This window comes from Homo sapiens, chromosome 10 (assembly GCF_000001405.40).
Source record: "Homo sapiens chromosome 10, GRCh38.p14 Primary Assembly".
Classification (NCBI taxonomy): domain Eukaryota; kingdom Metazoa; phylum Chordata; class Mammalia; order Primates; family Hominidae; genus Homo; species Homo sapiens.
Window position 1 is genome coordinate 49,644,710 of NC_000010.11, and position 27,424 is coordinate 49,672,133.

The 27,424-nt window shown below is 48.1% G+C and overlaps 1 protein-coding gene across 7 annotated transcripts in view, besides 3 other annotated features; it reads left to right on the forward strand.

Annotated features, from left to right (window-relative positions):
* CHAT (choline O-acetyltransferase) overlaps positions 1 to 23,233 on the forward strand; it is a 58,848-nt gene extending 35,615 nt beyond the window's left edge. For all 7 annotated transcript variants that reach the window (NM_020984.4, NM_020985.4, NM_020986.4 and 4 more), the window contains 8 exons: positions 1,796 to 1,965; positions 3,798 to 3,898; positions 4,799 to 4,927; positions 7,175 to 7,297; positions 10,386 to 10,527; positions 10,677 to 10,739; positions 17,936 to 18,073; positions 20,068 to 23,233. In NM_020984.4, the coding sequence (NP_066264.4) occupies positions 1,796 to 1,965; positions 3,798 to 3,898; positions 4,799 to 4,927; positions 7,175 to 7,297; positions 10,386 to 10,527; positions 10,677 to 10,739; positions 17,936 to 18,073; positions 20,068 to 20,337 (1,136 nt within the window). In that variant the 3' untranslated portion in view covers positions 20,338 to 23,233. The remainder of the gene's footprint in view (positions 1 to 1,795; positions 1,966 to 3,797; positions 3,899 to 4,798; positions 4,928 to 7,174; positions 7,298 to 10,385; positions 10,528 to 10,676; positions 10,740 to 17,935; positions 18,074 to 20,067) is intronic.
* Positions 3,323 to 4,174: an enhancer, noted in NCBI's record as "H3K4me1 hESC enhancer chr10:50856078-50856929 (GRCh37/hg19 assembly coordinates)". NCBI's record gives its function as "activates a minimal SCP1, AML or CMV promoter by ChIP-STARR-seq in naive H9 embryonic stem cells {active_cell/tissue: H9 hESC(naive)}" and the evidence as "EXISTENCE:reporter gene assay evidence [ECO:0000049][PMID:30033119]".
* Positions 4,175 to 5,025: an enhancer, noted in NCBI's record as "H3K4me1 hESC enhancer chr10:50856930-50857780 (GRCh37/hg19 assembly coordinates)". NCBI's record gives its function as "activates a minimal SCP1, AML or CMV promoter by ChIP-STARR-seq in primed H9 embryonic stem cells {active_cell/tissue: H9 hESC(primed)}" and the evidence as "EXISTENCE:reporter gene assay evidence [ECO:0000049][PMID:30033119]".
* Positions 5,878 to 6,728: an enhancer, noted in NCBI's record as "H3K4me1 hESC enhancer chr10:50858633-50859483 (GRCh37/hg19 assembly coordinates)". NCBI's record gives its function as "activates a minimal SCP1, AML or CMV promoter by ChIP-STARR-seq in primed H9 embryonic stem cells {active_cell/tissue: H9 hESC(primed)}" and the evidence as "EXISTENCE:reporter gene assay evidence [ECO:0000049][PMID:30033119]".

A 27,424-nucleotide genomic window follows, 5' to 3' on the forward strand; every position in this document is an offset into this window, starting at 1 on the left:
AAAGTGAGGGAAAGGGGATGCATGGGGACTGGAGACTCCTTTCAGGCAAGGGCATCTGTGGACACTCCTTGTGAACCTGGAGAATTCACCTGGGCAGAGCGAAGACCAGTGCAGTTAGCATCTGTGTACACAGCAGGCATTGAGAAGACCTAGGGGATGGTCTTAAAGATTTACTAACCACCCTGGGAAGGGGAGCTGTCCACATGCCCAAGGAAGGCAAAACGCAGGCGAGAGCTCCCACCATTATATCTGTGATCCAGGCAGCAGGATGGAGGAAGGTGGGAAGCAGGACAAAGAGCACATGCTAGTTATCTTTGAGGAGGTTCCCCGGAAGCTGTGGTGTAGTTTTTTGAGATCTTGCTCATAGAATTTAGACACCTGGTTACCCCTAGCTGTAAGGGAGGCTGGGAAGTATAGCTCTAGTTTGTTATCCATGTACCAAGCTAAAAACCAGGGGTTCTACAAGCAAGGAAAGAAAGGACATGTGGTGTGCAACTAGGAGTCTCTACCATGTAATGAACCTTTCCCTGCAAATGCCATGCACCCATCTTCCCACACACAGAGCACTCTCACCCCTGCCCTGGGTGCCTCATCCTGTCCCAGCATCCAGCCCCCAAGGTCAGGCTCTCCTGGTGATACGCAGCCCTCACCATTGGGTCTTGAAGTGACTCCTTGGAATTTTAAACCAAAATGTTAAACTTTGGGTGGACTTTTTAACTTTTGGTGAACTTTAAACCAAGAGGCAGGCTGTGTACCCCCACACCCAGTACTGAGCAGTGGAGAGAACATCGTCAGCACAATAGACTCCTGTTTGGAAGAAATGGGAACACGCAGCGGGAGCAGGCCTGGCCCCCAACAGGTCCTGCCGGGTGGGCTTGGTGAACCTCCCTGTGCCCTGTGGAGGAAGCTGCCAGGGAGGGCAGCTTCTGGTGCTCTCTGGGAGGAACGCATGTGTCCTTGGTGAAATCACGTGCTCTGTGCCTGACTCCCGCTCCTGAAGAGCCGTCCTTGTCTGTACTCTTCCAGTGCCACCAGGGAGGGGGATTCCCTTTTGAGACCTGCTTACTCTAGAAGAATGTCTAGAGGAGCCTGGGAATTGGTAGAGGCTAACACAAAAGCCAGCTGTGGGCCAGGCTTGGAGCTCCTTTGGATCCATGAGTCCAAAACTGCCCCTACAAGCTCATCCAGATGTGGGTTCAAGGCAGCCTGGCCCTTCTGCCTGCAGCTCTGCCTCTGAACCAACAGCTTGGGGGCAGGGAGGTGACCAATACACTTCCTTCAGGTTTTAATGTGAAATTGCCTAATTTTGAAATTGCAACAACAATTTTGAAATTGCAGTTTAGATGTCTGAAAGTCATAGTTCAGCACAAACAAGCATGCCTACACACAGATGTGGCTCACAGGAGCCCCAGTGGAGGGTGCTGTTGGGTGGGGGATTAAGGGCCCTTCCACTGATGTGGGCTGACATGAGGGTCTAAGCATCCCGCTTCATCTTGGCATGCATGACCAATAGCCCACACATCTGGAGGAGAGCTGGTCACAGCTGGAGAGCAGGGCTCCTGCAGGGACCGTGCGAATGAGCTGGGATCCTGGGGTAGGACAGAGGCTCAGGACACTCTGGCTGACTTCACTGCCCACCCACAGTGGGGCAAGGTGGGGGGTCAGGGCTGGCTCAAGACCTGGGTCTTGTTGTGATCCCAGAAGACAGGGCTGCCCTGCCCTGTGTGGGGCTCTGAGGAGGGAAGACTGGCCTGGAGCGGGACAGGTGCTAGGGCTGTGCCTGCCTCCCCTGCAGACTCCACCAACCGGGACTCGCTGGACATGATTGAGCGCTGCATCTGCCTTGTATGCCTGGACGCGCCAGGAGGCGTGGAGCTCAGCGACACCCACAGGGCACTCCAGCTCCTTCACGGCGGAGGCTACAGCAAGAACGGGGCCAATCGCTGGTACGACAAGTCCCTGCAGGTAAGCCGTCCAGGTGGCCCTGCAAGAGCACAGCCATGCCCCCAGCGAGAGAGTGAGTAGGCAAGCGGGCACAGCCTGGTGCCCAGGCCCGCACGTGCTTGTGTCTGGCAGGCGCACTCACTGGTTTCTGCTGCCTAAGAGGCTGGGTCTGAGGGGTCAGGAGAGCTGGAGGGGTCTGAGATGTGCTGTTGATGTCAATCTCTGGACCAGCCAGAACTCTTCTCAGGAGCCAGTGGCCGAACCCAACTCAAACTCCCTAACCTTCCTGCAGCCTGTGCCAGGAAGGTCTGGGCCAGACCTGGGGCCCATTTCCCATCACCCATCACACCTGTGAGGTGGGGGTGTGCCAGGAGTAGGAGAGTATAACAGCCCCACTGAACAAATCCTTAATGCATGCTGAAATAATAATTTCTGATGCCCAGAGCTGTCAGCTTTTTGGATGTCCACCCCCGTGGCCTGGCGATTTCAACATACCTCCCTCAATCCCTGAGAAGTAGAACAGCCCAGCATCTCCATGGAAGAAAGACTGTAAGATGAGATAAAATAATTCATATATGTTCATTTACATGACATCAGCCTAGAAGCAAGAAATTTACTTTGACCTAGAGAAAAATACCCATGCAGACGGGATGAAGTCAAGGTCAAACCATTCATTCCCATTCTGCCATCCTCCTTTTATTCCCCCAACATGCCAATCCTGAACCTAGTCTTGTTTATTTTAAAGTCACTACACTTTTATATGATATGCCATGTAGTATAAAACAGCAGGCAAAAACAAAACATCTCTCTACTTTGGGTTAGCAAAGCTCACATTGATAAGCATATCTAGACAACACCTCGTTTTCCTTTCTCTCTGTCCCTACATTCTGCAGGTTTTCCTTTTTATTGGTTTGCATATTGATTCTGTTATTTCTGATGCGCTCTCCAGCTGCTGGGCCAGCTGTTTTAGCCTCTACAGTGGTGCTAATGGCTTATCATCTTTCATGGAGCTGTGGGGGTGAACCGATATAATACATGCACAGAATCTGGAACTCAGCCTTGGTAGCAGTTTTCAAAAGACACCGCTTTCCTTCCTTCCTTCCTTCCTTCCTTCCTTCCTTCCTTCCTTCCTTCCTTCCTTCCTTCCTTCCTTCCTTTTAGTGACAGGCACAGATAAGTACTAATGTGGGGGGTGGGTGCAGCCCTCTCCACCACCTCTCATGGGTTAGTCTATGCTGACCTCCAGGTTCTTTTCATCAGCAGGGCAGATTATCAGGCGAACCAGAGAAGCCAGCAGGGCTTCATGGACCTGAATTCAAGATGATGGAGAACTGGTCTCAGGATAGCAAGGCAGGGGACACTGGGGGCGGGAGGGGAGGGCCTGCAAAGGGTGAGTTTGGGGAGAAGCTCTGTGGGAAGTGAGTTTCTTTGTAGAATGGGAGTAAAGATCCAGCCTCTGGCACACAAGGCAAGAGATTGGGAGGAGACCCCGATGTGAGCTATGACAGGAAACAGGGCTGAAGGGCCTCACCCAGGCCCCAAGGGCAGCTGGGCAGACTCGTCCTGAGGATGAACTCCTCAGAAATCCCTGGACTGCTCAGTCCGGGAACTTGGGGCTCCACCTTCACTGCCCACAGCTTTTACGGGAAAGAGGTCGTGAGTGCAGAGTAGTCTTGGATTCTCATATTCTCAGGCCACTGCAATCACATGCAGTGTTCTCTTCAGGAAATAATGTGCTCTGGTGTCCCTGGAGAAGAGGTGCCCTGAGAAGCCAGGGGCCTAACCTGGGGCCAAGGGGCTGCCTTGCAATGCTGACTCTCCCATGATCGCCCACTCCCTCTTTCCTGTTGCAGTTTGTGGTGGGCCGAGACGGCACCTGCGGTGTGGTGTGCGAACACTCCCCATTCGATGGCATCGTCCTGGTGCAGTGCACTGAGCATCTGCTCAAGCACGTGTGAGTCTGGATCCCAGGGCTGCCATGCTGGGCCCAAAAAAATGTGGGTGGTCGCTGGGGGCTGTGTCAGTCTGGAAAGCGTCTTAACAAAAGATGAATTTGAAAAAAATGTGTACTATACACACACACACACACACACACACACACACACGATGAATTTGAAACCCAGCTTTGTATGCGACATCATGTGCTTCACGGGCCATGGATAGGAGGCAGCAGATTTACGGCAGTCAGGGAGAAGCATGGCAAGGAATTCTCAGGAACCTCTGCCTTGAGAGAGGGGAAGCCTACATCGATACCTATTGCTTATCCTGAGTCAGGGCCAGGCCCACGGCTGCCCCAGCACAGGGGGAGTTCTCTGAGTCTCACTGCTTCCAAATCCCAAGGCTGGGTCCCTCCTTAGCTCCCCAGCAGGGTTCCTCTGTGCCCTAAACACATGGTATTCCTTCCTCTATTCCCAATTTTACCCATTCTCTCCTAGAATCTTCTCCCTGCATCCAAGTCTTCAATTTCTTCCATGAAACTCAGGGTTACTGAAACCTAAACCAAGCCTAGTAGGCACAAACCTTGTAGAAGAGAACAACACAGCTTGCTCTTAAATTTCTCTCCAAGTCTTCTGTAAGGGTGTAACATGGTCTAATAGGAAAACAATGAAAAGAAATAATGGGTTTTGGAGTCAGGCGGAACTGGATGGAGCCCTGGCCCTGCCACTTAATGATTTTGGTGGCCTCTCTGAGCCTCAGTTTATTCATCTGCACGGTGGTTCAGGGGCAGCTCGTACCCCCTGAAACTCCATGGCCGCAAACACTGACAGCTAAGATGATTGCACAGAGCAAAGAAGAGATGCCTCCCACAGCTGTCTGGCCGCAGAGCCTCAGGAGGTTGCCTCTGTGCCCGCAGGACGCAGAGCAGCAGGAAGCTGATCCGAGCAGACTCCGTCAGCGAGCTCCCCGCCCCCCGGAGGCTGCGGTGGAAATGCTCCCCGGAAATTCAAGGCCACTTAGCCTCCTCGGCAGAAAAACTTCAACGGTAAGGATAACCGAAGTCTCCTTTGAGGGGTCCCCTAGGGACCACCCCGCCCTTGCCTACTAGCTCCCAAGGCTCCCTGGAAGTTTCCAAAGACCCCAGCTCCTCTGCCTCTCCTTGGGCTCCACCTCGTCCCCATCCCTCATGTAGTCAAATTAAAGGAGAGATACAACTCTGGGGAAATAACCTTGCTGAAGTATCCATCATTTCTCTAAAATGCAAACGCAGGGCTATTTTTTTTTTTTTTTTTTTTTTTTTTTTCAGTTTCACCTGACTGAGCAGAGTCAAGGCCGGGAAATCATCCCCTGCTTTAGGGGGAGTAATAAACAACTGGTTTGAATAGGTCATTTGAATTCAAGCTATTTAAATTTGCTTGAATGTACAGTGCAACTTGACAAAGGGGCCTTTTTCCCCAAGGGGAGGGGGCCGTTCAGGCCCTAACGGGACCCAGGCAGGAGGGCCTGGGGCAGCAGCAAGCAGTGGTGGCAGCCACATCCTGGCAACCACGTCTGCACTGTAGCTGTTGATTCTCCCATTCAGTAAGCAAGCACGAATGCATTCATTCACTGGTTTGCTCATTCATTCATCAAACATGTGCAGAGCTCTGGTGTGCACCCGGCCCGTGGTAAGGCTCTGAGAACACAGAAAGTTAAGTACCATGGGACCTGCACTCCATATTTGAGTGGAATAAGTAGACTCCCAGGCCAAAACATGTGATACAGTAAGATTAATGCCAAAAGCAGAAACAGCCATGCTGACCTGAACCCACAAAAATATAGAAGCTGAACTCTGTCAGGACTGTGAGGGAGGGCCTTGTAGAGACGGGCCTTGAAGGATGGATAGGAGTTCATGGTGCAAGCAGATGGGGAAGAGGCAGAAAGGCAGCTTCTTCAAGCTTGTACAAGTTCATAATGATGAAGGCTGGTTTGGAGACCAGCAAGTGAGAGAATGGCCAGAGTGGGGCCACAAAAAGGAAGTTGGGCCACACTGTGATGAGTGTCACTGTCCTGTTATGGGCCTAGAGCCTGCCCTGCCACTGGAGGGTTCTGTGCAGGGGGTATGGGGACGCCCCTGAGGAGGCTGTGGGAAGGGCACATGTGAGCAGGACAGAGTGTGGCCAGGCTGGGAAGCTGAAGAGCGGGAAGGACCCATCCACTGGGAGCTGCTGGAGAGGTTGCCTGGCTTCAGTGGGCATGGAGGGGCCTCAGGTGTTCTATAAAGTGGTGCTCACATCTCAGCTTTGCAGGGTTGTTCAGGAGCTAAGTCAGGGGCCAAGGCAGTGAGCTGGTGGGCTGCTGAGTCCTCAGTGGGTAAAGGAGTCCACTCACTTCCAGGGACCTGAGCAGACCCCACATTCCCCAAGGCCCCCAGCTCCACCCTCCAGAGGCTGAGGAGAGCCAGGAAAGGCCCATGGATGGGGAAGAAGGAGGCTTCTTCCTGGGGGTCCTGAGGGGCCCATACAAGTGGGTGAGGCCCGAGTGGGCACAGCTTGGGGGAGAGATTTCCAGGTGGCTGTGGTGATAGTGAGCTCAGTCTGTCCCAGACGTCTGTCAACAGGTAGGTCTAAGGAGCGAGTACTCATGGGAACTGGGTCTCCTCCAAGTCCCCCTGTGTTCCTAGCACCTGGCCCCACCGAGAGCTGAGCTGCTGTGAGCAGGAGGAATACTTCAAGGAGAGGCAGGCAGGGAGCATGGAGTCCCGACAGAAGGTGTGCGTGTGGGCTCGGGGTTCCCACTCAGGCTATGCGCTCTCCAGTGGGGAGGCACATAGACCTTGCCAGACACTGCTCCAGTGGGCAGTCAGCTCAGACCCCAGACTCCTGATGGAGGAGGAGATTGTTCAATATGAGGGTCAGCCAGTGCTCCAGAGTCTCAGTGCAGACTTGGAAAATGTTCCTGTTACTCCGACAGTGAATTACAAAATCCCGGGCATGTCACCTGTGTCACAGTTAATCCCTGACTCACTAACACAGCCAGGCCCACCTCCCCACCCACTCTCCAGAGCAGGGCCGACACCCCACTCAGCTGAGCTCACCTTGGGTCATAGTAGTCCTGGCCTGGTTTGTCTTCTGACACTTTCATAGGTCAAGGCATGTCTCTGACACCTCAGTGCACTCCTGAAGGGCAGGGACTACGTCCGCACCTTCCAGAACGCTAGGACACAGACCAGGCTCTAGAAGCCCGGGGAAACCCCAGATGCATGCATACTGTTTTGCATGCAATAAAAACATCTTTTCTTTTTCTTCCTCAGAATAGTAAAGAACCTTGACTTCATTGTCTATAAGTTTGACAACTATGGGAAAACATTCATTAAGAAGCAGAAATGCAGCCCTGATGCCTTCATCCAGGTGGCCCTCCAGCTGGCCTTCTACAGGTGAGTGAAGGTGGAGTGAGTCTGTACCCTGGAGGGCTGACGGACACAGTGCTGTAGGATCTAGGGTCTAGAAGCATCCTGGAGGGAGGGACAGCCTTCTGTGGGCCTGGAAGACTGGAGAGGGACTGAGGCTGCATGAAGGAGGAGCAGACTGAACTGGGTTACAAATCCAACCTCAGAACAAGAAGGATGTGCCATCAGGGAACTGCCTGGGTGATGGCACAGGGGCACGGAGCTCCAAAGGACTGGAGTGTAGAGCTGAGAAGAGCCAGGAGGGGATGAGGACCATGGTTGGGGTTGGGGGGCTGCTCTCCATCCCAACTTCCCCCATCTCACCCAAGCCCTATTGCTGCAACCTGTTCCTCCCCAGTCTTCCCAATCTTGCTAAGGAAATGGAACCAGCAGCTCCCCCAGCTGATCAAGACAAAGATTTTGGACTCATCCTTGATTCTGCCCTTTCTCGTATCCCCGCACACTGCCATATCCGTTCTCCTCCAAATGTCTCTCACCTGCCCTCCACCTCCACTGCCATTGGCCCCTCCCAGGCCACCATCAGCTCATGCTTAGCCAACGGCAGCACTTCCCTAGGGTCACTGCTTCCAGTGTTGCCCCTGGTAATCCTGTCTTCATGAAGAGTGAACTTTGAAATATGCAAATCAGACTAGATTACTTTCCACATGAAACTTCCCAGCGCCTTCACACCAGGCTTAGAACAAAAGACAGGCTTAGAAGTGCCCCCTGTGGACTGGCCCCACCTGAGGCCCTCCCACACCCCCAGCTCTCTCCTGCCTCCTGACCTTTGCCCTGGCTGTGCCTCTGCCACCCACGGAAGGTGTGCGTGTGGGCTCAGGGTCACCACCCTCCACACGCACCAGCCCTTTCCAGCCCAGTTTCCATCCCTCGAAGCCTTTCCCCACCCCCTTATCTAAAGCAGCCCCCTGTGGCCCCCTTGCCACCCATTCTCTGTCATACCACATTGAATTTTCTTTTTCTTTCAGGCAGTTGTTACTTCTGTGAATTATCTTGTTTGCAGGTTTGCTGGCTTTGTTTTCTAGACTATCCCCGCGACCCTGACATTCTGGGCATCTCGCATGCCTCTGAGTCCCTAGCACCCACACCATACCTGGCACAGAGTAGGTGCCAGAGACTGAATCACAGACGGGAGGTTTAGCCAGAAGTGGTCCGGCCAGGTCTGGGATTTAGACCTGGTGGCCCAGGTAGCTGTGTGTCGGGGAAGGGGTGAATAGTAGGGAAATCAGGAGTGAAGGCAGGGGAGAGGTCAATTAGCCTTACAGGAGGCGAAGAAACCAAAATGTGAAATAGATCTTCCTGGAGATGGGGCCAGCTCCTGACAGTTCCAGGGCTGCAGAAGCAGCGGCTCATCAACTGCCTGCTATGAACGGTAAAGCTCTGCCCTCCAACCTGCTTTCAGTTTGCAACTTCCATGAAGGGCATAAAGTTACCCTGCAGTAAAGCTAGGGCAAGGCATTCTCACTAATGAACAGGCAGCACCCGTGTAGACACAGCAGCCCAGTGTCCCCTGCGGGGCTGTAATTCTCAAGGAAGTGAGTGCAGCCACTTTGAGTGTCTGTCCTGTCCGGACACCTTGGGGAAGGCCGATGTCATCCCACATGAGGACTGGGCTTGCTGCTGAGACTTGAAGAGGCAGAAACCTCACCAGTACTGAGATGCTGCAGGACCTGCCTGGCATTTGGAATGGTGGTCAGTGCCTTCTGATACTCAGAGGGCATGGGGCCGAGATAGGCCGTGAGGTCAGCATCCTGCCAGAGCCTCGACTGGGGATGCCACTAAGACCAGCTGCTCGGGACCTCTCTACTATGAGCACTTCCAAGTTTCAGATCCAGAGCTGAGGGGGACAGTGCAGCCTGCACAATGCACCCCTCCTCCTCCTGCCTGTGGGCTGTGCTGTCACTGGACAAGGCCAGGAAAGGACATAGCCAGAGGCTCCTGGGTTCATCGAATGGCCAAAGAGGATCTGCTTCCCATGAGCAGCATTCTTCAGGCTCTAAGCTGTAATAATCACAATTGTTTTTATCTGCCCCCAGATTCAGCAGAAACCTAGAGGCTGCCTGAATTCGGGTTGGTCAATGACTGGCCAGTGATGGTGTTTGCCTCCAGGGACCATAGAGACAGGACAGGAGCTCCTTGCCAGAGTCTTGGGGAAATATGTCAGAGTGTACAGGAAGGTCATTCCCTTGCTCACCAAGCAAGACAGTGTCACACACCCTGCAGACTTGGACATGGCCTTCCCAAACCTCCAGGAGCCCAGCCAGTGAGGGAGAGACATCCTGAGAGGGCTGAGATGTGGGGCCACGACTTGCTGGGTGACATTGGGCTGTCACTGCTTCTCTCCAAGCTCTGTGTCTTTTTTCCTCCCCCACTCCCAACATCAAGGACTTTACCAAGTGGTGAGAAAGGGAGTGTGCCCACCAGGGGTGCAAGCCCAGGGACGCTGGCCCAGTTACCATGCATAAGGACAGAGGAGTCCCCTGGCTGGTGGGGAAGCAGCCACTGCTGCTCAGGACACAGTCATCAGGGAAGAGAGGCACAGCCATGGTGCCCATGGGTCTGTCAGAAGCCCAGCTGCCCCTGGAAGGGAGGGCCTGGACAGCCGTTTACGCTTACCACCACTAAGGCTCCTCCCTGCCTCCCTCTGGAGGTCATGCTTGAATCAGTTTAAATAAAACAGGATTCCCGCATAGGTGGGAATGATTAATTACACAATTATTCCATTCTGTGCTGTTCATCAAACACTCAGGTCTCACAGAAAACTCTAGGTTTCCCACCAGGTTGGGAATTTTTTTTGAAGCGCTACCCGTCACTTCTTTATTTTATGTCAGTGCAGCATCCCCGGGTGTATATAAGCAAACGTGGCTCTCCATGTGGGAGACTCCCCAGCGTCATCTTTGGGAATTCCCTCTAGAATTCTATTAATATTAAAATGAAATATTCTGCCAAGTCAAGTCAGGGCTGTGAAAATAAAGCTTGCTGAGGCAATTTTTCTTTCCGAGTTTATGATTTCCCAAGAATAAATTACCATGTGCCATTCATCCTTCATCCCACGCAGGCTCCATCGAAGACTGGTGCCCACCTACGAGAGCGCGTCCATCCGCCGATTCCAGGAGGGACGCGTGGACAACATCAGATCGGCCACTCCAGAGGCACTGGCTTTTGTGAGAGCCGTGACTGACCACAAGGCTGCTGTGCCAGTAAGTCCCGCCCCACCCCACGGCCACAGGAAACCAGTGAGGCTGCTGTGGTTGCCCTGGGTTGCAGTGGGCTCGGCCCTCTGACCACCAGATGCTTTGGCTCCAAGCAGCCTTTTAAACCCCGCGCTGCCTCTGTGTTCTGTTGACAGGCTTCTGAGAAGCTTCTGCTCCTGAAGGATGCCATCCGTGCCCAGACTGCATACACAGTCATGGTGAGTGACGTCGCACCACCTCACAACACTGCACTTGAGCTGTGCCTGGGGCCTGCCAGAATGGGCACCACGGCATAAGACCCTGTGTGAGGGCCCAGCCACCTGTTACTCGGGGACTTGGCAAGGCCACTTCACCACTCGGTCTCTTGTTTCTTCGTTTTAGAACCTAAGTAACATAGCATTCCTGTTTTTGACATGGATTTTATAAGAATACAAAAGTTACCACTTTTCAAACCCTTTGAAACAACCATACTGACAATAATAGCACCTAATATGTATAGCATCTTGCAGTTTATACAAGAGGAGTCAACTGTGAGGGGAAGGGGCTCAAGCCTGGCAAGCGATGGGGGTCACACACCTTCCCCAATCTCAGGCAAAACAGTATCTGTTCCCACCTAGGGCTGCTTTTGCCTCTCATTCTCTGTATATTCATTTATACTACCTGTGAATAAAAAGTCTTTGCTGAAAATTAATAGGGAAATCAAACTTGCAAGGGAAATGTTTCTCTAGCTTAGAGAAATAATTCATTTTCTGGCACTGCAAAGCTATTGTTTGCAATAGCAAAATAGAGAATAAGCAGTGACTTGGGCGGCTCATCAATACCTGCATTGCAAGTCATTCTAATACAGTCTTTGAAGGATCATATAATCTATGAGAAGGAGCTGAACAAATTTCACTATAGATACTTGAAAACAGAAACAATGCATTTCTGGATTTTAGAACTAGCCAACATAGACTTCTCTCTAATTCAGTTGCTAGGTCCCTAATTCATCTAAATACTTCAGTGTTTGTTCTATTTGGGGAAAACATAGCACCCACTCATGTATTCAGTGGGTTTTTTTTTTTTTTTTTTTTTTTTTTTGGTCTTCATGCTTTATGCCAGGCAAGGTGCTGGGTGCTAGGAAACAAAATATGAAGTCCATAAGCCCTGTCCTTAGGGAGGTTACCATGTAGTTGGGAGAAGAGGCCCTTCAACGTGAACACCAATCCCATGTGAAAAGAGCCCTCAGAAAGTAGCAGGGGACATGGAGGAGCCAGCTGTTTCCTCTGCTTGGGAAAGCCAGGAAGAATTCCCAGGGAAAGTGGTGCTTCCTGTGAGCCACAAAGGATGAAGAGAGGCTTGTCAGGCAGACACAGAAGGGAAAGATGGCTCAAGAAGGGCACCACGTGCAAAGACTGAGAGCCTTAAGAGAATAAGACCCATTCGAGGAAAAGCAGAGCACAGCTTGCAAAGGACAGTGGGGCAGGGGAGATGTTGGATTTCCCTGTTACAAAGTGTGTTATGGTGACTGGGTGGAAGAAGGACTGGTTGGAATTGGGGGTGGGAATGTTTGCTGAGAGGCAGAGTTGCTGGTTAAGAACCTTTCTAATATGGAGGAAGAGCTGGTGTTTGGACTGGAGTAGGACAGGGGCAGGGTGAAGGGGAAGTCGTAAACTCCTCCTCTTGGTGGAAGAAACTCTTCGCGCATGGTGGACTGCACACAGGGTTACTGTCACTCTCTCTGAAACCCTCCAAAAACAACAGCAAGGGATTTTTGAAAGCCGTAAATACACCAGGGCAAAGAGAACAGGAAAGGAGTGGCAGCAACATGTTAGAGCTGGAAAGTAGAACACATGGCGACTGACTCAGCAAACAGTGAGAGAAGCTTGGGAGACTGGGTAATTTATGAAGAACAGATAATTATTTTTTAAAGTTCTGGAGGTCGGACGTCCAAGATCAAGGTGCCAGAAGGTTCAGTGTCTGGCAAAGCCTGCTCTGTGCTTCCAAGATGGTGCCATGTTGCTGCATTCTCCTGAGGGGACAAGTGCTGTGTCCTCACATAGTGGAAGGTGGAAAGGCCGAGGGCTGAACACTGTGTACAGCCTCTTGTATAAGAGCCTTAAACCCGTTTATGACCTAATCACCTCCTGAAGGTCCCACCTTCTAATACTATCATACCATTAAGTTTCAACACATGAAGTTTGGACAGGACCCAAACATCCAAACCATAGCAGTTGATGATCTATATAAAAAGCAGTTAGACCCTCAGTTCCTCTCTACCACCCCAGGCAGCCAGGCTACTAGCCCCCCTCCCCAGTGGTGGGCTAGAAGTTCATTCTCTGGAGAGGCTGAAGCAGAAGGACTCCAGACTTGAGGACACTAGGCATGGCTGAGGGAGGGAATACTGTACGGAAATTAATTGGTTAATTAAAGTCTTACTACTTTCTTCTTACTTACTATTAAGCCCTTCAGCCACTCAGCTCCATACACACTGGGAACTAGCTCTGTAACCATCCCTCACCAAGCAGGAGATTAGAAGATTTCTCTGTGGTAAAATTGACCAAGCCAAGAGAGAACACTCACAGAAACTGATGGTTGGGGCCCACAGTGAAAGAGCCTAGTCAGCAGATGAGGTAGTGGTTTGCCAAGAGGCAGAGCTGCTAGTTAAGAACCATTTTAATATTGAAGAAGAGCTACTGTAAGGACAGTGAAGCCCCCAGGTTAACAAATACATTATCATACATAAATCTTCTAATCATATTTTCAGTGCTTTATTCTTAAATACAAATAGCCATAGATCCTCCGACATTGAGGAGACATAAAAGAGTAAAACCAACACCAACAAACATTTTTGCTAATTAAAAAAATCTTTTTAAAAAAACTTAAAATGGACCAGGCACAGTGGCTTATGCCTGTAATCCCAGCAATTTGGGAGGCCAAGGCAGGCAGATCACCTGAGGTCAGGAGATCGAGACCAGCCTGGCCAACATGGTGAAACCCTGTCTCTACTAAAAATACAAAAAAGGCCAGGTGTGGTGGCTCACACCTGTAATCCCAGCACTTTGGGAGGCTGAGGCAGGCGGATCACCTGAGGTTGGGAGTTCAAGTCCAGCCTGACCAACATGGAGAAACCACTTTTCTACTAAAAATACAAAAAATTAGCCAGGCGTGGTTGCACATGCCTGCAATCCCAGCTACTCGGGAAGGCTGAGGCAGGAGAATAGCTTGAACCCGGGAGGTGGAGGTTGCAGTGAGCCAAGATCACGTCATTGTACTTCAGTCTGGGCAACAAGAGTGAAACTCCATCTCAAAAAACAAAACAAACCAAAACACCACCACCACCAACAAAATTATCCAAGTGTGGTGGCACATGCCTGTAATCCCAGCTACTAGGGAGGCTGAGGCAGGAGAATCGCTTGAACCCGGGAGTCGGAAGTTGCGGTGAGCTGAGATTGCACCACTGCACTCCAGCCTGGGCGACACAGCAAGACTCCTTCTCAAAAAACAAACAAACAAACAAAAACTTGAAATGAAAAAAGTACAAGAAACAATTGAACAGTTTAAAAGTGATCATTGAGATTCTTTGAAAAATAAAAGGAGTTATTACATCTATATATGATAGGAAACTAAAAACATTTTTCAGGAAATAAAAATAACTCTGGGGGAAAATATGGTAGAAAAAAATTCAGTGGAAGAATTAGAAGATAATCTGAGATAATATCCCCAAAATATCAACACAATAAAGAGATGAAATATAAGAGAGAAAAGAGGCTTAGTCCAGGAGAATAATATTCCAAATAACTTGCTTAATAGATGGAAAATACTCATAGCAAAGGAAATTTCACAACACTAAACATGAAGAGAAGATTCTAAAATCTATCAGAGGATAAAAAAATCAAATACAAAGATCCATAAAAAAGATGTAATTAATTTCTGAACAGCATCATTGGAAGGTGGAAGATAAAAAGAGTAGTGTCTTCAAATTCTGAGAGAAAGTGACCTTCAACACACATTTCATACCCAGCTAAACTGTCATCAAGTTTGAAGATGCATCAAAGATATTTTTAGACAGAGAAAGTCTCAAACATTTTACTTATTAAGCACCATTTCTCATAAAGCTACTGGAGAATGTAGACTTCTAAAGTGAGAAAATAAAACATAAAAGAGGAAATCATAGGCTGAAAAAAAACAGAAGATTTAACACAAGAAAAAGATAGAGGGGTGCCCGCAGGATGACAGTAAAAGGAGATCACAAATCAACAGTTGTTGAGTACACCTAGAGAGCAATCAGTCCATAAAGAAGCAAGAAGTGAGAGGACAAATGAAATTCTTGCTGCATGTTTAGGAATCAGTTAGAAACAGATACATGGGGCCTGGCACAGTGGCTCATGCCTGTAATCCTAGCACCTTGGGAGGCCGAGGTGGGTGGATCACCTGAGGTCAGGAATTCAAGACCAGCCTGGCCAACATGGCAAAACCCCATCTCTACTAAAAATACAAAAAATAGCCAGGTGTGGTGGCACATACCTGTAATCCCAGCTACTAAGGAGGCTGAGGCAGGAGAATCACATGAACCCAGGGGGTGGAAGTTGCAGTCAGCCGAGATCACGCCACTTCACTCCAGCCTGGGTGAAAGAGCAAAACTCCATCTCAAAAGTAAATAAATAAATAAATAAAATAGATACATGGAAAGCTAAGGAAGTAAAAAAGTAATTTATACATTGTCAATTCTAGGGAAAACAAAAAATTCAATAAGAAAGGAAATCTAATCATAGTACACTACATGACCCAGCTGTGAATACTTGCTTAATTATACTTATGTATATCGTTCTGTATACATGATTATGCTGTATCTTGATCAAACTACAAAGAGTTAAAACATAATCTTATTGGGAAGATGGGAGAGTAGAAGTGTGCTGGGGGAGCAGGGTCATAAAAGAGCTGAAATTGGCCGGGTGCAGTGGCTCACGCCTGTAATCCCAGCACTTTGGGAGGCTGAGGCAGGTGGATCACAAGGTCAGGAGATCGAGACCATCCTGGCTGACACGGTGAAACCCCATCTCTATTAAAAATACAAAACAATTAGCCAGGTGTGGTGGCGGGGTGCCCGTAGTCCCAGCTACTCAGAAAGCTGAGGCAGGAGAATGGCATGAACCCAGGAGGCAGAGGTTGCAGTGAGCTGAGATCGCGCCACTGCACTCCAGCCTAGACGACAGAGTGAGACTCCATCTCAGAAAAAAAAAAAAAGAGCTGAAATTTCACTGTCTATAACAAGAAGATTATAGGTAAAACTGAGAAATTCAGTAGTGGTAACCTAAGCATATGTTTGGAGGAAAGAAAGTATATACCCAAAAGAAATAGCTAAAAGACTGTAAGGAATTACCTTTGTGGGGTAGGAATCCGTGCTGGCAAAATGACCTAGGCTTTTGGTTTATTTGGATTTCTAAACGATATAAATATATGACAATAACAACTTTAAATTTATTAAAATGTCTAGGAAAACACCCTCCAAAGCATTGCCATAGGGTTGTGTTAATAATTTTAAGTTGATGAGAACAACCAAATCAAAGAGATGGGTTTGGGGAAAGGAGAGATACAAAGATGCTTAGGATGTGAATCTGGTGTGTGGTTGGACATGGAGGGTAAGGAAAGGGGGAAAGAAGCAAGGAAACCTAATAACTGGTAAGCATATTTGCCAGTGGTCGTGGAGAAATAAAGTTCCAATGGCAAGGTGGTCCAGAGCCCCCATCACTTACTCTCCCACTTCTATGTTTTCCCTTCCTCACACTTGAGTTTATGATCATGTTTTTTTGCATGGTTGATGAAATCTGTCCCCCACTACACCATAAGCTCCACAAGGACTGAGTCTACAACTGTCTTGTTCTCTGTTGTGGCTACAGGACCCGCGGCACCAGGCATATAGTAGGCACTCAATTAAGATTCCCTAAATGAATGAATGAAAGACTGAATTATAAGTCATTTTACTCGTTATTACTCATGGCTCTGAGCCAAACAACCTGTGAACTCAGTCTCTCTTGCTACAGTTATTCCAAGGTGGTGAAAAGAGGGGTGAGTTGACTGTTCACAGGGAAGCTGCTTCTATGGACCAACACAAATCAGGAATTAAATAGAGGAAACCAGAGAAATTAAAAGAGTAGTCTCCTTCATAGATGGGCTCACCGTTCTTTCCTTCGGTCCTAACAGGTAGGGCACGTCTAAAGTGAGCTGTGGTTGTGTAATGTTTGTCTTTTCAGCCTCTAATTAGGTGCGTTCAGAGAGACCAGAGCCTGAGTCATCTTTATGCATTCATTCGCAACTGAAAGAGAACAGCTGTCAAATCCCTAAACGTGCCTTGTAAACCTATACCAAGTTCATTGTGAATGGGAAGTTTCCTCCTGTGCAGGGCTTTGACAGCTAACTGGCCATCCTACAGAACTGTGAAACCCCAAGAGTTACTCACAGTTACCCTGATGTTGACCCAAAAGTGATTACTATGGGTCAGGGTGGCCCCCTGAGTCTCCATCAGCCCCTAGAATTGCTCCAAATAAACATGCAGTCCAAAAAACCAGTGTGCATACTACATACCCAGCCTCAAGTGGGGGAGCTGTAGAATGAGTACCCGGCCCCACTTCCAGACACCTCACCCTCCGTGAACCCCTCCTACATTGACATCCTGGAGCTTTCTCTATATTTCTATCCTTTGATAAAAGTTTAAATATCTTGTGATAAAAAGAAAAAGAACTTTTATTATTCAACAGGCTCTTTCCCCTTGAAAATGTCAGTTGAGCCTGCTAAGGGGTCTAGTTCCTGTCTCAAAACGATTTCTTAGATTATGGATCCAGTTTAAATGAATTGATCCTGAGCCATGAAATAGCAGCCAAGATTCAGTAACAGATCTCACACCCTCTATCCTCTATCTCTTGTTCCCTGGGCTCCTACTGGAGGAGACAGCGCTGGTTGTGGTGGGAGTCTGTTCAGGACAGCCTGGGACGCCCTTCACAATGCTTGCACAGGATCCGGTAGTCTCCAAGCTCTGCACACAGCCTTCTTCCCAAACTCTCTCCCTGCCCAAGCAGTTGGTAGTTGAGAAGACCAGGCCAGCCCCATTCTTTCCACTTAGAGAACCAGGCGGATATAGTTGTGTAGGGGATGCTCAGACTCACTAACCTTTAGCTCAGATGTCTCAAGCTAGAACCCAACCTGCTCTGGACTCATTCAGTGCATGTGGAAATGCGCAAGGGCCCGGGAGCAGAGGCCGCATGGTAGAGCGGTCAGTCCTGAGCAGCCACTCATACACATTGTTGGCAGCAGGCACTGGGTAAGCATGAGCCGTGGCTGCTGGAGTCACCAGCAGTCCTGTAGACTACAGAGCAGGGAACAAGGAGGTGCAGGAGGCCCACTTCTCATCTCCTGTTCTTTGTCCCCAACTACACAGGCCATAACAGGGATGGCCATTGACAACCACCTGCTGGCACTGCGGGAGCTGGCCCGGGCCATGTGCAAGGAGCTGCCCGAGATGTTCATGGATGAAACCTACCTGATGAGCAACCGGTTTGTCCTCTCCACTAGCCAGGTACGGCCCCGTGCAGCTATCGCCCAAGAGTAGTGTAGTCAGTAAGCTTTCTAAAGAGCAGTGACAACAAGCCCACTAGCTGGAATCAGGCAAATCCTGCCTCTGCTTTTTCTGAACTATGTGATCTTCAGCAAAATGATCTGAATGTTCATTAGAAGATGGTTTACTGACCAGGCTTGGTGGCTTACAACTATAATCCCAACACCTTGGGAGGCTGAGGCAGGAGGATTGCTCCAGCCCAGGAGTTTGAGACCAGCCTGGGCAACATGGGGAGACCTCATCTCCCTATTTTTAAAAATTAGCTGGGCATGGTGGTGCGTGCCTGAAGTCCCAGCTACTAAAGAGGCTGAAATAAGAGGATTGCTTGAGCTGGGGAGGTGGAGATTGCAGTGAGCCCTGATTGCACCACTGCATTCCAGCCCAGGTGACAGAGTGAGACCCTGTCTCAAAAAAAGAAAAAAGGAAGAAGAAGGTTTCCCATCTCCTAAATGGGAGTAATCAGCAGACCCTACTTAGCCGAGGTGGAGACAGTACAGGAACATACCCATTCTGGTGCCCTAACCATTACACCTTACTACCTTTCAATCTATTGCCGCGGTTTCCACGGGCTCTGATGCCCAGCAGGTCTGCAGTGAAGTCTTGGCTTGGCCAGATACAATTATGTAGGGAGAAAGCCCAGCCCAGGGCCTGGCATGGACAGGGCCCTCTAAATAGGTCACAGATATTATTATAAAGGGCCACGCAACCAACAGCAGAACATTCGTGGCCAGCCCAACATCTAACCAGTGCCTCAGCGTGTCCTGTATGAGAGCCACTGCCACAAAGACAGAATGCAATCCATTAGAGAGAGGTCGTGGTTTAGGAGGGGAAATGCCCCACAGCCATCAATTTACTAAAATGCCACCTCATCTGCGAAAGGCTGGATGGGCAGTACTGGAGTTGATAAGCTGTGTTTGAGGACAGAAGCCCACTCAGTAATGGGATGTTGTCATTATGGCAGTGAGCATGCAGACGTGAATAAACGAGGACAGAACACAGCACCATAAATTTCTCAGGAAATCATCCATGGGCAAAAAGTGCTTTGGAATGGCTTTATGGCCTTCGGCTATTGCACGGCAAATTTATCTGACAATGTGGTGACTCTATTAGCAAGACTAATGGTTTGTTCTGCCCCATTAAAACAGCCAGTGTCACTTCCAAAGGCCTCAGCACACAGCACCAGAAACCTGTAGGTTTAAAACAAACCAGGCCCTGCACCTGCCCAAGAATCCTTTCTATTTTTTTTCCCAAGGACCAGCTAATAAAATTAATCTGGGGTGTGGGAGTTTTGTTGTTTTCCAACTGGAAAGCAGCATTTATGGCTTGAATGCTTTCAGAAACATACTTTCTTGGTTTGTGATCTGGATTACAAAATCTCAGCACTCTGATTCAAAACATACTAGGTGCATAAGTAAAACTGATGGCAATCTTTGAAACACCCAACTCTGGGTAATTGTGCATGGCCAGGCTGCAGGGAGAAATCAGAGAAGCCAGGCAATACTGACAGTAATTAAGGATCTGGGGGAAATCGACACAGAGGATGGGCCAGATTTCCTCCAGTTCATAAATTCCTCCCTCCGGAAAGCATCTAACTATGGGGTGCCACCAGGGGACCATTTAGTAAATTACCTGATTGCCTCCGTGCCTCAAATGGCCCCCAGGTGAAGTGGAGACTCAGCCCAAGACCTAGCACCAGGTCACTCCGGGAGCTTCCAACTCCACAAGTAGAGCAGATTGCACACCAGGGAGTGGGCTTGGGGCCCCTCATCCTCTGATATCATGCAGTTAGATGGGTCTGTTTTTATGACTCTGGCTGTGTCCATCCATGCTAAAGCAATCACTTGATTTGGTTAATTCAGTCAAACCCCCAGGTGGAAAACAGAGAAGCCAAGCCCAGTCGAGGCTGGCGGGCTGCATTCCAGAACAAGCAGCTCCTGACCTGTCCTCTCCTCCAGGTGCCCACAACCACGGAGATGTTCTGCTGCTATGGTCCTGTGGTCCCAAATGGGTATGGTGCCTGCTACAACCCCCAGCCAGAGACCATCCTTTTCTGCATCTCTAGCTTTCACAGCTGCAAAGAGACTTCTTCTAGCAAGTTTGCAAAAGCTGTGGAAGAAAGCCTCATTGACATGAGAGACCTCTGCAGTCTGCTGCCGCCTACTGAGAGCAAGCCATTGGCAACAAAGGAAAAAGCCACGAGGCCCAGCCAGGGACACCAACCTTGACTCCTGCCACTAGGTTTCACCTCCCAAACCCAGCCTCTAGAACAGCCAGACCCTGCAGATCCCCACTCCCGTCCCTTACCCCAGCTTTCCACAGCTCCCTGTCCTCAGGGTCCAACTCACAGACCATACAGAGACATCACACAGAGCCGGAGTGTTAGGAGGAAAGGGTCCCCTCTTCATGCATGGGAATCATCATTTTCAAGGTGGCTTTGGGCCTGCACACTGGGAAATGGGACCTGCCTGGCTCAGAGGCAGCCTGGATGCACTGGGGAACCACACTAAGGACTCCTTCTGTGGTCCTTGGAAGCTTAGTGTTCATGTCTCCTTCCCTAGCAGGACCTAGTATGTCCAGGTGATGCTTCTGCCCAAGGAAAGGATGAGTCACTCTATTACATGCAACGTACCTAATGAGTTAGGAAGGAAGAGGCTAACTCCAGGTCATTACCTCTTTTCTTTTTTGGGGGAGAGGAGGCTGTGTTTTGAGATTCAGAGCATTCTTATCGTGGCATTCCCAGTGTCTCCACTGAGCCGTACAGTCCTACAAGCACCCACTCCTCCCACACACACCACAGAGCCCAAGTCCATTTAAAATATAGTGACTTGGGCCCACAAACACATTTCTGCTTTCGTGCCCAGGGGCAGCCTTCTGTTGAGCTCAGAAAATTGTGTCCAGCTATTCTGAAAGGAAAAAAAAATTTATCTGTGACTGCCCTGGAGTTGCTGCCACTCTCTGCTTAGCAGGCGGCATCAGGGCCAGTCCAAGATGAGTAAACTGCACAGCCCCAAGCAGATGGTGCCTGGTGCCGGTGGGTTTGCAGAGGACCTGGCCCCTTCCCGGGGTCCTGCCATTTGCATTTTTTCTGCATCTTTTCCCCTCTCCTCCCCTCCTACATGCTCCAGTAGGTGAAGAGAGATGGTTACTTTGGGTTTTTCCATTATCTGTTTTGTTTTAAGACAGAGATTTTTAAGAAAACCACCCTGACATTAATTTCAGAAATTCTTAGTGATTCAAGCAGGACCCTTAGGCAGCTGGGCTCCTTTATTTGGAGCAGGCTATCCAGGGACTCTGACAAAAACCCATGTGGTAGAGCCTAGAGCAGGGCTCTCTTCTGGCCTCAGGGACTTAGGGGACAGCTGGCAGGGAGCAGGGCTGGGAGGAGGGCACAGCCTCCTCCAGAGTCAGCCCCAGCCCCAGCCCCAGCTCCAGCTCCAGCCCCAGCTCCAGCTCCAGCCCCAGCTCCAGCTCCAGCATGGGCAGGACAGGCAGGTCAGCAGAGGCAGAGTTGAGATGTCTCCAGAGACTGTGATCATAGGAGAGACACAAGAGGCACTTCCTATTAGAGCACATTTTTATGGGAAGTCTAAAGGGCAGAGGGAGGGAGTAAGAAAGCAACCAGAGAAATCTACAGCATAGAGCCCGTGTGTTCTGCTCCACATCCCTCCAATCCTGCTGCTTCCTGCTGAGCACTCTGCTCTAGCCCAGCAATCCTGTAGGTCTCCCTTCTTTGTGCCACTGTGAAGGCTCTCCACACTTCGACCTGGACTGTCACAGGCTGGCAGAGGTGGGGTGGGCATTTGACCTTTGCTCAGCTCTTTGAAAACACAAGCAGCCTCAAGAAGTGAGTTCCTTGAACCCCTGGTTTTAGATGGAGGATCTCTATTAGATGTCATGGGAGATTTGGGCACTACCCTTTGAACATACAAACTTAAGTCATTGGCCTGAGATTTATGCTCCTTCCCTCCCACGGCCACCTTCCTACTCTGCTTAGGAAGTTGCAGCACAAGGGTCCTGGGTTTTCTGGGGAAAGGCAGCCCACCTGCTGTAAGTTGGCCCAAAGCTACTTGTCTGTTCTCTCCAAGTGACCACAGTGCAGATCTGAGTTCTCCTCCGGTTCCTTTCCCTCCATGGATTTCTGCGCAGACATAGAGCTCCAGCTATGGGGCCAGGCAGCCCCACCAACCTCGGCCAAATGACATGCATGCCCAGAGACGCAGTTCCTTCCACTGTCAAATGAGAACAAGAGTGTCCCCACTTGCAAGACTATGAGGATTGGAGAGCATGTGTGTCAAGGACCTTGCTGGGTCAACAATTCATTTGCCTTTGTCTGGAGTCTGCCAGCAGCAGTAGCTAATGTCTAAAAGACACAGGGGCCAGGAGAGAAAAGGGAGGAAAGAACTAAGTCTCTCCTAGTCTATGGCATGCTATCATGGGGTCAAGTAGGGGCAGGGAGGCTTCATGGGGCCTACCTTTGGGATGACATTACCCCAGTGGGCATTGTTTGGGTGGTTTTCTTTTAAACTATTTACACTGATATGACAGACTCAAACTCATATTTGCTATTCTCCGAGCACATGGAAAGGTAACTCACTCTGTACATTCAGATATCAAACTATGCACTGTGAGGGCTATGAGAAGCGCAAACAGTAAACGCTTGGCAGGAGGGAACACTTCCTCTCTCTGAGGAAGAGGCTGGAAGCTGGTCTTCCCCCTCCAAGAATACACGGGTGCACTGAGTCTTTATGCAAAGGCAACACTGAGCCATGGCCAAGGGCATCTCTGCGGGGACCCTGGGAAAGGAGCCTGCTCCAGGTGTCCCCAAAGAGATGGAAAACAAGACAGTCATTTGGAACAGTGATGCATAATAAAATGTATGTGGCCACCTTACAATACTGCTAAGTTGCTAAAATATATAAAGTTAATATTTGAGTTCTATTTTTATAAAATAGTTCTAGATTTATGGCAATATAAACGTGTATAGCCTTTTGATTTTAATTTCTAGTTTTGTGCTTTGAAGAAATATATGTAAGATTAAAGAACTGTATATTGTAAGCATTATATTCAAATTATTTAAAAATTGTTCTAAGTCTATATTCAATAAAAAGTAATGCCAAGAAAGATGATGTTGCCCATTGTTTCTACCCAGACTCGCTTTAAAATGTAATGTCATAAATTCTCTGAGCTGGGTCAACAATTCATTTGCCTTTGTCTGGGGTCTGCCACCAGCAGTAGCCAATATCTAAAAGACACAGGAGCCAGGAGAGAAAAGGGAGGAGAGAACTAAGTCTCTCCTAGTCTATGGCATGCCATCACGGGGTGGGGTAAGGGGCAGGGAGGCTTCATGGGATGCTTGTGATCAGGTTGACAGAAACCTGGGTGTAGACAGGAAGTGGGTGTCTCCACTTAAGCCTGCACAAACATGTGTGGACAGCATGGGGAAGAGAAAAGAGCACAAGGCTCAGAGGCTGGATGCCTGGACAATAAACACAGCTCTGTTTCTAACTTACTGTGGACTTTGGGGAAGTCACTTCGCCTCTCTAGGCTTAGTTTCCTCATCTGTACAATGGGAATATTGATATCAGCATTACTCACTTCCAGGGTTGTAGAGAGATGATATGAGTTGGTGACTGTTTGAAAACTTAGGAAGTGGTGTAAAAGCCAAGCCTTCTTGTTGCAGGCTCACACAGACATACGCACACAGCTTGTTTTGCCCTGCACAGCTGAAATACATTCCAAGCTGCAAGATATCCTCATAGCCATGAAAATCCACAAAATCAGAACTGAGATTCCTCCAAACGGAAGCCCAAATGCCTTCCAATTGGACCCTAAAAAAGAACCTTGAAGTGTGTGGGTTTGTGGGATTTGGGATGCTGGAAAGGCACTATTCAAAGAGATAATGGCTAAGAGTAGTCCAGCAGGAGTGGAGGGGAAAGGGAAGAACAGGATCTGAGCAATATGGGTTTTGCTCTTATCACAGATGTCACAGCCATCCCCAAAGTAACCAGATGCAGAGACAGACACCGAGAGAAAGGCAAGAGCAGGCAAGCCGACATGCAACATACAAAACCACGCCACCCTCCTGAGGCCTCTGAAGCTCCCTGCGGGGTGGGTGTTGGTACAGAAGCAGGGAAGAGTCCCTCCCAGGTTCACAAGAGCAGCTAGAAGTTTCCAAATTACTCCTAAGCAGTTCTCCTTGGAGAGTAATGAGAGAGAGAGAGAGAGAGAGCGTGAGAGAGCGAGCTAGGTGGAGGGAGGGAGATTGAGAGAGACAGTGTGCAGTGCCTTGGGTTCCCTTTATAAATTCAGCCTATCTCCCTGCTTTTGTGCTTCTGAGTTTTCATTTCAAAGAAGCCTCTTGAGTCTGCAAGGTGAACAATATGCCACATCTGGGAAAAGCTGGCCACACATCCCCCGAAAGGACCTTTCTAAAAGCTGTTCTCCATGGCTCCCAGGGACCAGCTCTGTCCTTGTTCTTCTGCTGTGTGCTCCTCCCACCTCCTTCTGGGATTTCTCTCCCTATTTCTGCTGTGTATATGCCAATGGATCCCTTAGTCTCTGTTTCTTACATTAAGGTGCAGCAATATGGGCTGAGGTGATGCAGAAGCGCCCCTCCACCTGCAAAACCATATACAAAAAAAAGGAAAAGTTTTAAAATATATAATCAAGAGAAAGAAAGCAAGTCCTCACATTCCAGAAAAAAAGAAAGATGTCCAGAGCATAGCACTAAGCAGGAGCCCAAGGTGAAGCAGAACAGAGCCTCAGTGGCTCCAGCTGGGTTCACCGTCCCTGCAAGCAGAGAAGACATAACAACTCATGCAAGGCAGGAGAAGCAACTAAACTCCCTGCACAAACCAGGACCTCCCAGAGGCATGCCGACCATGTGACAAGAACTAGAAAAACCTTTCTCATCATCTCATCAGTGCAGGAGAGGAGAAAAAAAGCCTGCCATCCACAGGGCTGTAGAGGGGGGAAAAGACATCCATGAAAAAGTAAAACCATAAACTCATGCCATATGTGGATGAGGAGCTTGAATTCATACCGCTTATATGTAAAGCACGCACTCCAAGCCGATAATATTTTTTATTCTTGCCAAACATATTTATTTATTTTTATTTCAATAGCCTTTGGGGTACATGTGGTTTCAGATTATATGGATGAACTGTATAGCGGTGCAGTCTGAAATTTTAGTGCACCTGTCACCTGAGTAGTGTACGTTGCACCCAATACATAATTTTTTTAATCCCTCACCACCCCCCCACACTCCCCCTTCTGAGTCTCCATAGTCCATATCACTCTGTGTGCCTTTAAATACCCATAGCTTAGCTTCCACTTATAAGTGAGAACATATATATTTTTTTTTGTTCCTGAGTTACTTCATTAATAATGGCCTCCAGCTCTGTCCAAGTTGTGCAAAAGACATTTCCTTCTTTTTTTATGGCTGAGTATTATTCTATGGTATACATATTACATTTTCTTCACTCATTGGTTCATGGCCACCTAGATTGGTTCCATATCTTTGCAATTGTGAATTGTGCTGTAATAAATATACTTATGCAGGTGTCTTTTTGATATAATGACTTCTTTACCTTTTGACAGATGCCCAGTAGTGGGATTGCTGGATCAAACTGTAGATCTACTTTTCGTTCTTTAAGAAATCTCCATGTTGCTGTCCACAAAGGTTGTACTAATTTACATTCCCACTAACAGTGTATAATTGTTCCCTTTTCACCACATCCATGCCAACATCTATTGTTTTCTGAACTTTTAGTAATGGCCATTCTTGCAGGAATAAGGTGGTATCTCATTGTGGTTTTAATTTGCATTTCCCTGATGATTAGTGATGTTGAGCATTTTTTCATGTTTGTTGGCCATTTGTATATCTTCTATTGATAAATGTCTATTCGTATCATTTCTCACTTTTTGATGGAATTATTTGTTTTTTTTCTTGGTAATTTGTTTGAGTTCCTTGTATAATAGATTCTGGATATTAGTCCTTTGCTGAATGCATAGTTTGCAAATATTTTCTCCCATTTTGTGGGTTGTCTGTTTACTCTGTTTACTTACTTTTGCTGTACAGAAGCTTTTTAGTTGAATTAAGTCTCATTTATTTATTTTTGTTTTAGTTGCATTTGCTTTTGGAGTCTTAGTCATGAATTCTTTGCCTAGGCCAATGTCCACAAGAGTTTTTCCTAGGTTATGTTCTAAAATTTTTATGGTTTCAGGTCTTAAGATTTAAGTCTTTGATCCATATTGAGTTGATTTTTGTATAAGATGAGAGATAGAGATCCAGTTTCATTCTTCTACATGTGGCTAGCCAGTTTTTCCAGCACCATTTGTTGAATAGGTTGTCCCTTCCCCAATTTATGTTTTTGTATACTTTGTCAAAGATCAAATGGTTTTAAGTATTTGCCTTTATTCCTGGGTTTGCTATTCTGTTCTATTGGTCTATGTGTATACTTCTATGCCGATATCATGCTGTTTTGATAACTATCGCCTTGTAGTATAATTTGAAGTTCAGTAATATGATGCTTCCAGATTTGTTCTTTTTGGTTAGGATTGCTTTGGCTATTTGGTCTCTTTTTTGGTTCCATATGAATTTTAGGATCCTTTTTTCTAATTCTGGGAAAAATGATGTTGATATTTTGATAGGAATAGCATTGAATCTGTAGATCGCTTTGGCCAGTATGGTCATGTTCACAATATTGATTCTATGAACCCAGGAGCATAGGATATGTTTCCATTTGTTTTGTCATTTATGATTTATTTCAGCAGTGTTTTGTATTGTAGTTCTTCTTGTAGAGATCTTCCACCTCCTTGGTTAAGTATATTCCCAGGTATTTTATATTTTTTCCCACTGTTATTAAAGGGATTAAGTTATTAACTTGATTCTCAGCTTGGTCATTGTGGGTGTATAGCAGTGCTACTGATGTGTGTATATTGTCTTTTTAACCTGAGGCTTTCCTGAAATTGTTAATCAAATCTAGGAGTCTTTTGGAGGAGTCCTTACGGTTTCTCTAGGTATAAAATAATATCATCAGTGAACAGTGATAGTTTGACTTCCTCGTTTCTAATTCGGATGCCCTTTATTTCTTTCTCTTGCCTGATTGCTCTGACTAGGACTTCTGGTATTATGTTGAATAGAATTGGTGAAAATGGGAATCCTTGCCTTGTTCCATTCCTCAGGGAGAATGCTTTCAAATCTTCCCCATTCAGTTTGATGTTGGCTGTGGGTTTGTCATATATGGCTTTTATTATTTTGAGGTAAGTCCCTTTTATGCCTAGTTTGTTGAAAGTTTTTATCATAAAGGG